The sequence below is a fragment of the Homo sapiens genome, chromosome 12 (genome assembly GCF_000001405.40).
Source record: "Homo sapiens chromosome 12, GRCh38.p14 Primary Assembly".
Classification (NCBI taxonomy): domain Eukaryota; kingdom Metazoa; phylum Chordata; class Mammalia; order Primates; family Hominidae; genus Homo; species Homo sapiens.
This window is the reverse complement of record NC_000012.12, coordinates 32,473,930-32,486,348: the sequence shown is the minus strand read 5'-3', so window position 1 is coordinate 32,486,348 and position 12,419 is coordinate 32,473,930. Positions and strand designations below refer to the sequence as shown.

Genomic DNA, 12,419 nt, shown 5'->3' with positions numbered 1-12,419 from the left:
ACACCTTTGTGCTAAAACCACAGCACTGAACTACTCTAAAGAAAATCCACGATAATTTTTCCATCGTGGTACAAATTATTATCACTTAACAGTAAACAAAGAGAAATACCAGTGACCTCATCTATTGTATACTTTGCATAGTGAAAAAATCCAAATGTTTTAACCTGAGATATTTCAGAAATGGCAATTGCAAAACAATACTCACAGCCCCCCATAAAAGATTCTTTTCATAACATCCAGCAATCTTCTGATTAACCTATTTCCTGCTTCTGGAGCAAGGATTTGGATCCATAATTTGTTGGTAGAAACTATAGGCATTCTGTATTTAGACACTAGACACATACACATCTAGTGTTCAACATGATAAAGAACTAACTAATGGGAAGTACAGAGTTCTGTTTCATAAGTCTTCTTCTGGCAGTGATGCAGGCTCAAGGAACTACGCAAGCAACGCATTTCAAAATTCCACGAAGGTGTTTCAAAATGTACTGAGAGAGCTCTAGAATACCGGGGGTGGACTAGGAAGTATGATGCCAAATACATGTAACTTTATTACATTTATGGCATTTAGGCTTATAACAAACTTCCCTTTAAAAATAGGTCTTGGTCAGGCGCAGTGGCTCACACTTGTAATCCCAGCACTCTGGGAGGCCTAGGCGGGTGGGTCACGAGGTCAAGAAATCGAGACCATCCTGGCTAACATGGTGAAACCTCGTCTCTACTGAAAATACAAAAAAAAAATTAGCCAGGCGTGGTGGCAGGCGCCTGTAGTCCCAGCTGCTCGGGAGGCTGAGGCAAGAGAATAGCGTGAACCTGGGAGGCGGAGCTTGCAGTGAGCCCAGATCCCGCCACTGCACTCCAGCCTGGGCAACAGGGCGAGTCTCTGTCTCAAAAAAAAAAAAAAAAAAAAAATTGGTCTTAAAAGATCTGAGGATTCTTTTTGACAGACATCAGAAAATTGTAAGAAATACTGCAAGCAATGCTGAATAGTGAAACTGTGTATAAGCTCTCCATATTCCCAAAAGCAAAAAAGGGCCTTCCATTTTTTTCCAGGAATGGTTATGCGGGTTACCTAGCAATCCCAAGTAATTTCTATATAAAAACAAGTCAGGTTTTTAAAAGAGGAAGGCACTGATTGATAGGCAAATTTCTCATCCTTGTTATGCCTATAAAGTAAAATTATGGATTAAAATGAATGTTTTATGTTTGAGGCCAGAAATTAGAGACCAACCTAGGCAACATGGTGAGACCCCATCTCTACAAAAATAAATTTTAAAAAATTAGCTGGGTGTTATGGCATGTGCCTGTCATCCCAGCTACTCAACAGGCTGAGGCAGGAGGATCACTTGAGCATAGAAGGTTGACGTTACATAGTGAGCTACTATCATACCACCATACCTCAGTCTGGGCGACAGAGTGAGGCGCCATTTCTTAAAAAATAAGATGGGATTTTTTATTTTTATTTTGTTTTTTTTCTGAGACAGAGTATCCCTCTGTCACCCTGGCTGGAGTGTAGTGGTGTGATCTTGGCTCACTGCAACCTCTGCCTCCCAGGTTCAAGCTATTCTCCTGCCTCAGCCTCCCAAGTAGCTTGGATTACAGGTGCCCACCAGCACGTCTGGCTAATTTTTGTATTTTTAGTAGAGGTGGGGTTTCACCATGTTGGCCAGGCTGGTCTTGAACTCCTGACCTCAGGTAATCCACCCACCTCGGCCTCCGAAAATGCTGGGATTACAGGCATGAGTGACTGCACCCAGCCTAAAAAGGGGTATTTTAGTTAATTTATCACATAACAGATGTTTTAAAACACCTAAACATTAATCATGATGTAAATTCAACATTTACATAACACAAATGTCCCTTTTCATGTGATAGTCAGATGTTGTAGTCAGAATCAAACCATAATACCTAGACTCAGCTCAACTTTGTAACATCACTTCTTAAAATTATTATGTTTCTATGTTATATGGAATAGCAAACTAAAAATTGTATGTTACCTTAAAGCACTTTGAGAGTAGGTGAGGACATTTTGATGGGTATAGTAAAACACACACCTGATGCAGCTTATGAACCAACAAGTGGAAGCATGAAGAAAACTACTTGGAGAAATACACACTAACATCATAAAGTCTTAAGACATTTAGAAATCCTCCCATTGCATGGATAAGAAAATTGAGGCCAAGACTGACAAGGCAGTCAAGATAAAGCCATACTATATGAGGCAGACAAGATATGCACACTTCAGAGCTCCCAACGGATTTTTTTTGGTGTAATTTCCAAGGTATTATACATCCAAATAATTAACTCTTTCTTGAACACACCATCATCTAGTATAATACTGTAATGCAGTGGTGATTTTGAGAGCTAGTAACCTACCTCCAACAATCACTTGCTGTCAATAAATGTTATTTTCATAAACTTTAAAAGCTGATCTTTATGAAGTGAAAGGTATAGTAATACACAGTATGTTCATATACTGTGGTGGTGTCCATCTGAGGGCTAATGCTTTCCAAACCTCACCAATTCCAGCCATCATCCTCATCCAGGTCAGCTAAGGGCTGGGTGTGTCCTCTACAGTCAGGATAGGTTTTACACAGGAAGTGCTGGCACTTACACAGGCTGGAGTGAAGATGTCAAATGAGGATGTCAGCATTTTTGGTTCCCTCTCTCTAGCTCAGAAAAGTACTGCAGGAAACTTCAAACTGACCATATGCCAATGAGTTATGGGCTAAAACTGGAACTGTCCTGCACTGCTACTGTGAACCAGGGCCAGAAGGATCCTCATGAGTATGCTGGCCTTTGTTCTTGACCTCTTTTTTCAATGTTTTGGCAGTTTGGAGGGCAAAGAAAAAGAAAAGTTATATGGAATATTTTCTGATGATTTGGCATTGTACATTGTAGATTTTTATGTATCTTTACAATCAACTAAACCTTTCACTATTCATTCAGAGATTATATGGATCTAGCCGTAGAAAAATGTTGCAGGGATTACACTGAAATAAAATTGCACCCATAGATGTGTGATTGTGCTATTTTTCTGAGTTCTCTGCACAGATTCTCTGCCTTGTAGATTTTACAAAATACAGATTTATCCCTACTGGCTTTAAATCAAGTGATCCTGATCAATTTACTCACACATGCTTGAATTTCAGAATGGCTATAGGAACTGCAATTTTAACCAATTCGTTACAAGCTAAAATTAGTATTCTACCCACACACACACACAAAAATTATCATGTGGCTAAAAATAAAGCTTCATAAAAGGAGAATACACTAAGCTATTTATATTTTCCTAACACCATCATTATATTCCGTATCTTGATAAAATTATCAGTAATTATAGCTGTATACTTAACTTGCTATGTGCTCTCCTCATAACAACCTCAACAAAAAGTCATTAATAGGTGTTGAAACTGAGAACATCTATACATCATCTATAACTGAGAAAGTAACTTTCCAGATAGTAAACGGCAGGTCTGGAATGCAAATCCTGAACTATTTAACTTCAAAACGTGATTTCTAAAGTGCAGAACGTCTGCTTATCCTCCCAAAGTTTGTCAAAATTATTAACGTGGGATGAAATAAAAATTTTTACCCTATGTCTTCGTTTTCTTGTATTCTCCCCCCAAACTCAAAACTTAAAAATTTTTATGCCTGGTAAAGTTCCTCTTTCTACCTCATGGGATTCTTTGCATAACTAAATTCCTGGAAACTCTGTATTTAATCTACTTGTAAGCAAATCATTTTATATATAATCTGGAATAGTGGGATCATTTTAGAGTAACATATCTTGCAGTCCTACAGTCCGCTCAGCAATAGTTGCTTTTATCTTAATTTGCTTATTCGCTGTACAAATGAGAAGAACATATGTGTAACTTCCTCAAGGTCACTTCGAGCCAGAAATAGAATTTTGGTTTAAGGTCTGGTTGCTAAACCACACTTCCTCTTCAATGGTAAGCTACCATTGGTAAGCTGGTCACTAAGAAATAGAAAACAAGAAGCATGGGATATTCAAAATACTTTTCATGCCAGAATTTCTCTTTTCCCTACCCATCTGTCTCTGTTTTTCCCATCTCCTAAATATGCTATATTGTGATTATGGAAAAAGACAGCAACTGCTTTGGCAGATAAGGAAAAACACCTTATTCCTATTTCAAACATGAAGCAAATATTTCATTTCCTTTGTTTATTAAAATATATAATGTGGCCTTGAAAGTCACGGCACTTTTTTAAAAAATGCTTAATTTATCCATTCTATTTAATTTTACTGGTATAGACAATTACTTTGATTTGTAAATTTGAGACTGTTCTCTAAGAAATGTGTAGGTACCAAGACATGTGACAACTGGCACTACTATAGAGGGTTTTATTTAAAGCAGACTGCCCAATTGAACTTTATGCAATAATGAAAATGTTCTATAATTGTGCTATATAATAAGGTGGCCACATGAGCACTTGAAACATGGGTTCGTGTGATCAAGGAACTGAAATTATTTCAATTAACTTAGATGTTCTTTTTTTTTTTTTTTTGAGACAGTCTTGCTCTGTCACCCAGGCTGGAGTACAGTGGCACAATCTTGGCTCACTGCAACCTCTGCCTCCCAGGTTCAAGAGATCCTTCCACCTCAGCCTCCCAAGTAGCTAGGACTGCAGGTGCACACCACCACACCCAGCTAACTTACATATTTTTAGTAGAGACAGGGTTTCACCTTGTTGGTCAGGCTGGTCTTGAACCCCTGATCTCCTGATCCACCCGCCTCAGCTTCCCAAAATGCTGGGATTACAGGCGTGAGCCACCGCACCCGGCTGATGTTCATTTTTAAAGCAATCTGTGGCTAGTGGACGGCATAGGTCTAAAGTCTGGATATATCTTTTAGCATTTTATTTAGAAATACTTACAGACTCATAGGAAGTTGCAAAAATATGACAGAGAGGTCCAGTGTACCATTCACCCAGTTTCCTTTGATCATTACATCTTGTAAGACCATATTACAATATGAAAACTAGAACACTTGCATTGCCACAATGTATTTGGCAGCTAATTTTTGTATGGCCAGCTAATTTTTATATTTTTACTAGAGACGGGGTTTCACCATGTTAACCAGGATGGTCTTGATCTCCTGACCTCATGATCCAACCGCATCGGCCTCCCAAAGTACTGGGATTACAGGCATGAGCCACTGCGCCCGGCTTTTTTTTTTTTTTTTTTTTTTTTTTTTTTGAGACGGAGTCTCACTCTGTCACCCAGGCTGGAGTACAGTGGCACTATCTCAGCTCACCGCAAGCCGGGGATTGCTTGAGCCCAGGAGTTCAAGGCCAGCCCGGGCAACATAGGGAGACCCCATCTCAGCATGCATACACACACAATTATTTTTACATTGGCCGGGTGTGGCCATGCACACCTATGGTCCCAGCTACTTGAGAATGTAAGGTGAGAGCATCATTTAAGCCCAGGACGTCAAGGCTGTAGTGAGCCATAATGGTGCCACAACACTCCAGCCTGGGCAATAGAGCAAGATCCTGTCTCAAGATTTAAAAAAAAAAAAAAAAGGCCGGGCGTGGTGGCTCACGCCTGTAATCCCAGCACTTTGGGGGGCCAAGGAGGGCGGATCACGAGGTCAGGAGAGCAAGAGCATCCTGGCCAACATGGTGAAACCCCGTCTCTACTAAAAATACAAAAATTAGCTGGCCATGGTGGTGCGTGCCTGTAATCCCAGCTACTCGGAAGGCTGAGGCAGGAGAATCACTTCAACCTGGGAGGTGGAGGTTGCAGTGAGCTGAGATTGCGCCACTGCACTCCAGCCTGGTGACAGAGTAAGACTCCGTCTCAAAAAAACGAAAAAAACAAAGAAAGAAAGAAAAGAAAAAAGAGAAGAAAAAACAAACAGGTTGGGCGTTGTGGCTCACACCTGTAATCTCAGCACTTTGGGAGGCCGAAGTGGGCGGATCACGAAGACAAGAGATCGAGACCATCCTAGCTAACACGGTGAAACCCCGTCTCTACTGAAAATACAAAAAAATTAGCTGGGCATGGTGGCACGTACCTGTAATCCCAGCTACTTGGGAGGCTGAGACAGGAGAATGGTGTGAACCTGGCAGGCGGAGCTTGCAGTGAGCCAAGATCATGCCACGGCACTCCAGCTCTGGGTGACAGAGCGAGACTCAGTCTCAAAACAAAAAAAACAAAAAAAACCCCCACAAACAAACATATCCATTTGGGGCAAATAAGCAGAATATGCTGAAAAACAGACTTTACAGGCAGGGCGTAGTGGTTCATGTCTGTAATCTCAGCACTTTGGAAGGCTGAGGCAGGCAGATCACTTGAGCCTGGGAGTTTTGAGACCACGCTGAGCAACATGGAAGGACCCTGTCTCTATAAGAAAATACAAAAAATTAGCTGGATGTGGAGGTACGCATGTGTGGTCCCAGTTACTTGGGAGGCTGAGGCAGGAGAATCACTTGAACTTGGGAGGTGGAGGTTGCAGTGAGCCGAGATTGCGCCACTGAACTCCAGCCAGGGTGACAGAGTGAGACCCAATCTCAAAAAAAAAAAAAAAAAAAAGAATAATGCTTTATAAATTTTTCTGCTTATATTTCTGCAGAGAAGGTCAAGTGGAAAAAATAAATTCTGTTAAATAGTAAACGAATATAACTATTTGGACAATTTACTAAAACTACAGGAAAAAGTGAAATGTATGAAAAAATCTTTAGAGGATTAAATTTAATTAGCCTAGCAGTGAGAGGTCTGTGAAAATACAGACCTCTCACTGCTAGGCTAATTAAGGAATATAATCAGAAAGTTATGTACCTACCCAGGGGAAATAAAGGATAATTTAAAAATTATATGCAAGAATACATTCTTTACAATAGGAGTTTAAAATAGTAAGAATTCATGGGAGGCTGAGGTAGGATGACTGCTTAAGGCCAGAAGTTTGTGACCAGCCTGGGCAACACAGGGAGACCCCGTTTCTATTAAAAATAAAATAGAACACAGCAAGTTTTACAAAACTTTAGTTATATGACTACACTTTAGTCATATTTAATAGGAAATGAAACAAGGTCCTATTAAATATGATTAAGTATAGTTGTGAGGCAAGAGCACCAAAAAAACTCAGAGACCTCCTCAAATAGCACAAGTATGTACTCCAAGCCTTCAGAAAACTACATTCAGCTTTCAAATCTGACTGTGAAAAATTGTGAAGACTGAAGACCAAGGAGCCAATTACAGTGAACATTTCCTGTTCACCTCTGTATCTCCTAGTTAACATTTTACTAGTTCACATACAATAATTACTTGACAGATTAATAAGTATCTAGCATATCCCAAAGCAAACGGAGTTATAAGTTGGGCAGATACAGAAGTAAATAATCTCTAGAAACCAACAGTGTGGGCATCGTTGCTGAAATGGTTGGTAATGGTATCGTGCCATGGAAGTTTGACACTGGGATGGAGAATATCCAGAAGGAGCTGGAAGGATTCTTCATGCAGATTCATATGCCACGGATCATAATTGTGATCATGCCTCAACCACACTACCCATAAGATCATTCCTAAATATGTTACTCAACCAGACTTGGTAAGGTATGAGGAGGACGGAAGATTAAAACATAAATGGAAGAACAAAGAGAGAAAAAGGAGGAAGCACAAAGTCAATCACACTTGCAAACTACTCAGGTGTGGGAAAGTAAAACTACAAGCAACTAAGGGAAGCTTGTGCTATCCCAAATATTTTCACAATCATATTGAAGAAAAATATTCAAGTTATTTCAATACTTAACAAGAAGCCAGGCACAACGGCTCACATCTGTAAGCCCAGCACTTTGCGAGGCCAAGGTGGGCAGATCACCTGAGGTCAGGAGTTCAAGACCAGCTTGGCCAACATGGTGAAACCCCATCTGTACAAAAAATACAAAACATTAGCCAGGTGTGGTGGCATACAACTGTAGTTTCAGCTATTCAGGACGATGAGGCGTGACAATTGCTTTAATCTGGGAGACGGAGGCTGCAGTGAAAGCCGAGATCGTGGCACTCCACTTCAGCCTGAGCAACAGAGTGAGACTCTGTCTCATTAAAAAACACAATCACATTGAAGAAAAATATTTAAGTTATTTCAATACTTACCAACAACTTACTGATGCTATCAAGAAAATGTATAACCAGAAACAAAAGCATTAAATCAAAAGTACAACAATACGATAAAAAAGAAAATAAAGGTCAAAGACTTAATACTAATCAGATCCTATGAAAGATGGATATAAACTCTGTTGAATCACTGTTGTCACAGGGCATTAATTTGATATTTTTTTTCTAAACAGAACTCCAAATTAGATATGGAGAAATTTACTAGCCTAAGTGCTTCACAAATTCAGGAAGCCATTTACTATCCTGTCTGAGCAAACCTAATAGATGACTCGAGTGAATGAGCAAAGGCAGAGGCAACCTCTGCTGCCATCTGTTTTGTCGTCTCCTACCAATCTACAAACAGCTGCACCACAAAAGTTCCAAGTGATAGAAAGCCCTGGGCTTCTGTCATCCCATTATTCCTTCTTTGGTTTACCACAATCATTTCTACAATGCATCCAGATTATGCCTTTCATTGTTCACAACTCTTAAAGAGCATCTGGTTCTATTTTGAGGAGGGGAGTGTGTGGAAGGGGACTCTTTCTCTACACTTAGTAGTGTATAAGACAAGCTTTATTTTAAAAAAAATACACCGTTCACTGGTAAGATCAAGATGTATAAACACATTCACACTTTCCTGTCACACACAAACTTTGACACAACCAATGGTGCTGGAGAGTGTTACTCTGTTGGCAAGGAACTTAAAATGACTTCTGTCCATCTGTGAAATACACCATTTAAAATTTCTTCCAATGGTGCTTACTTTGGCAGCACATATACTAAAATCGGAATGACAGAGAGAATACAAGGATGACATGCAAATTCGTGAAGTGTTCCATATTAAAATAAAATTTCAACAAACTGATATCAAGAGAGGCTCTTTATATGGAAAGGTTTTCTTGCTACCTCCTTCCAGATCTTCAAGGTTTTTTTTTTTTTGAGACGGAGTCTCACTCTAGTCACCTAGGCTGGAGTGCAGTGCATAATCTCAGCTCACTACAACTTCTGCCTTCTGGGTTCAAGCGATTCTCCTGTCTCAGCCTCCTGAGTAGCTGGGATTACAGGCACCCACCACCACGCCCGGCTAATTTTTGTACTTTTAGTAGAGAAAGGGTTTCGCCATGTTGGCCAGGATGGTCCTGAACTCCTTACCTCAGGTGATCCGCCTGCCTTGGCCTCCCAAAGTGCTGGAATTACAGGCATGAGCCACGCACCTGGCCAGATCTTCATTTTTCAAGTAGTAAACAATTACTTTTCACCAACTCATAACCTTAAGCCAAGAGTGTCTTTTCAGTACTGTTAAAGAAAAACAGCTCACAGATTACAGTGGATTAATGACAGCCACAACTTCTGCCACTACCCCCACTAAGAGATGGGGTCTATTTCTCCACCTCCTTGAATCTGAGCTAGGTATATGATTGCTTTGTCCAGCAGAAAAGACCAGAAATTCCACTGTATGCCAAATGCGAGCTTAATCTTTAAGAGGCCAGGCACCTTCTTTTATGTTTTTTTAATTAGAAACAGGTTCTCACTGCTACCCAGGCTGGCCTCAAGTGATCCATCCACTTCAGCTTCCTGAGTAGCTGGTATTACAGGCACATAGCCCTGCACCTAGCTAGAGGCATGGCAACTTCTGCTTCCTGCTTTTTGGAATCTAGCTGCCACATTGTGAGAAGGTCAAAGCAGAACATGCATCAGAAAGGGCTGCGTGGAGGAGAATTAAGGTCCCAGTTGACAATTCCAACTAAAACCTCAGGTGGTAGGACCAACTCGACAGTCATATAATTAAGGTATCTTGGAAATAAATCTAATCGAGCTGTCAGCACACAGATCAGAGATGTGCCATTCCTACCAAACTCTGGCCAAATTGCAAGACCATGCGTGAGAAAATACTTGTTTTTAAGCCATTAAATTTTGAAATTATTAATTATGCAACAATAGATAACCAAAACAAAATTTGGTATCAGAAAGGAGGCTCTGCTATAACAAAAACTCAAAATATGTACGGTTTGGGTCCAGGTGGTAGACAACAGCTAGAAGACTGCTGGTAAAGATTTGAAAAACAGTATAGAAATGTTACTGGTGGCTGAAGAAATGGAGACCTAAGAAAAAGCAGCAGACCCGTTTCATACAGTAACATGGAGAACAGAAAGGGTACCTAATGAACTCATGCACCCAACTAAGGAGAATTCCAAGAAGAATGTCAAAAGTGCCAACTGGCTTGTTTTTAGCTGCCTACAATAAAATATAGGAGTAGTGACATGAATTTAAAAAGGAACTGTTTGGTTCCTTTTTAAGCAGAATTCAGAGGAAATATAAAGAAGTTGGACTTCATGGGTTAAAAAATAAAACAATTCCTCTTTTCAGTAACTAAGCTTAAAACCACTCAAAATAAGAAATGGCCTTAGGGCAAAGATCAAATCCAGTGCTAGCAGTAAAGTAGAGCCTCTAGGATGTGGTGGTAAGATCCTTTTTTGAGACCTCATGAAGATGTTAGGTGGTTGCTCATGGACTTTCTCTTAGACCAGTGGTTCTAAAACTTCGTATGCATCAGACTCACCCGGAGATTTTATTAAAACCTAGATTTCTGGGCTGGATCATCACAGTTTTTCATCTAGAAAGTCTGGGATGGAGACTTCAACTGTAAGTTCCCAGGTGATACAAATGCTGCTGGTACAGACACCCGTGCTTTTGGAATCACATAACTAGACCAAAAGGCTTTAAAGAATCTTAAGTGGGTGCTTTGAGTACCAACTAAACCAGACAGTAGAGCTTTTGACAATAAAAGGTTATTTTCACATGACAGTCTGATACAAAGGCATCCAAGGTAAAGAAAGCCCTATCTTAAAACGATTTGTGGGAGTATTTTTTACCTAATGTTGTGAACCCCTAAGACATCTATGGTAAAACCCAAAAGGCATTTCAGAGAAATATACCAGTGGAAACACCATCAGCTTGGACTAATAGAGCCAGTTAAAAATGAAAAATACTAGCACCCTACTCGGACAGGAAGACGCCAAAAAACACAGGCCATTTCTTGTGGAAAAGAATCAGAAGACAGCCAAGAGCCTAGGGGATGGAGATGAGGGCCAAAGAGAGGCACCCAGGTAGTGAACTAGTTCCTCAACAAGGATATAGATCGAGCTAAATGTCAGAAATGCTATGCACCAGTGAAGGTCATGTGCCTCCCAGTCACATCTGCTGCTTTTTTCTGTTTAAATAAGTTTACAATGGCAAGGTTTTTACTATATTCACAGATACATATACCCGCCATCAATTTTAGACCTTTTCATCACACCAAAAATAAATTTGTTTTTAATTTGGAGATAGGGTCTGGCTTTGTCACCCAGGCTGGAGTACAGGGGTGCAATCACGGCTCACCGCAGCCTCAACCTCCTGGGCTCAAGCGATCCTCTTGCCTCAGCCTCCGAGTAGCTGGGACTACAGGCACACGACACCATGCCTGGCAAATTTTTGTATTTTTTGTAGAAATTTCGCCATGTTGTCCAGGCTATTCTCAAACTCCTGGATTCAAGCAATCAACCCACCTTGGCCTCCCAAGGTGCTGGGATTACAGGCATGAGCCACCTCTCCCAACCCAAAAAGAACCGTATACCTTTTAGCTATCACCTTCCCCCATTCCAGCCCTCCCAGCCTAAGCAACGCTAATCTTTCTGTCTATAGATTTGGCTCTTTGGGACATTTCATATACATGGAAGCATACAACACATGGTCTTTTGTGACTGGATTCTTTCACTTAGTACATTTTTAAGATTCATCCATGTTGTAGGTAGGAGTACTTTATTCTTTCGTACAGCCAAAAGAATGCCAGTATACAGGCATATCACTTTTTATTTACCTATTCATCAGCTGGACATTTGAGTTGTTTCCACCTTTTGGCTATTATATTGCAACTATAAACATTCATGTACAAGGTTTTCTGTGGAACTATGGTTTCATTGCTTTTGAGTATATGTCTAGGTACAGAATTGCTGGGTCATATGGCAACTCTATGTTTAACCTTCAAAGAACTACCCAGACTGTTTTCCAAAGCAACTGTACCATTTTACATTTCTACCAGCAGTGTGTCAGGGCTCTGATTTCTCCACAGCCCCGAATACTTTTTGTTTTTTTTTTTTGAGACAGAGTCTCGCACTGTCACCCAGGCTGGAGTGCAGTGGCGCGCTCTCAGCTCACTGCAACCTCTGCCTCCTGGGTTCACGCCGTTCTCCTGCCTCAGCCTCCCGAGTAGCTGGGACTACAGGCGCCCACCACCATGCTCGGCTAAGTTTTTGTA

The 12,419-nt window shown here is 40.6% G+C and overlaps 1 protein-coding gene and 1 pseudogene across 6 annotated transcripts in view, besides 1 other annotated feature; one reads left to right on the top strand and one right to left on the bottom strand.

The window, feature by feature from the left end:
• The window catches only part of FGD4 (FYVE, RhoGEF and PH domain containing 4), a 246,493-nt gene that overhangs the window by 159,702 nt on the left and 74,372 nt on the right, over window positions 1-12,419 (bottom strand). For 3 of the 6 annotated variants that reach the window (XM_047428291.1, NM_001304481.2, NM_001330374.2), the window contains exon 1: window positions 206-377. The exons of the other annotated variants lie outside the window; for them this stretch is intronic. In XM_047428291.1, the coding sequence (XP_047284247.1) occupies window positions 206-348 (143 nt within the window). In that variant the 5' untranslated portion in view covers window positions 349-377. Of the gene's footprint in view, window positions 1-205; window positions 378-12,419 lie in introns of those variants that run through there. 6 annotated transcript variants of the gene reach the window in all.
• Window positions 3,835-3,994: a silencer, noted in NCBI's record as "silent region_4338". NCBI's record gives its function as "represses an Ori minimal core promoter by ATAC-STARR-seq in GM12878 lymphoblastoid cells {active_cell/tissue: GM12878}" and the evidence as "EXISTENCE:reporter gene assay evidence [ECO:0000049][PMID:35858748]".
• RNU6-494P (RNA, U6 small nuclear 494, pseudogene) lies at window positions 8,878-8,967 on the top strand (annotated as a pseudogene).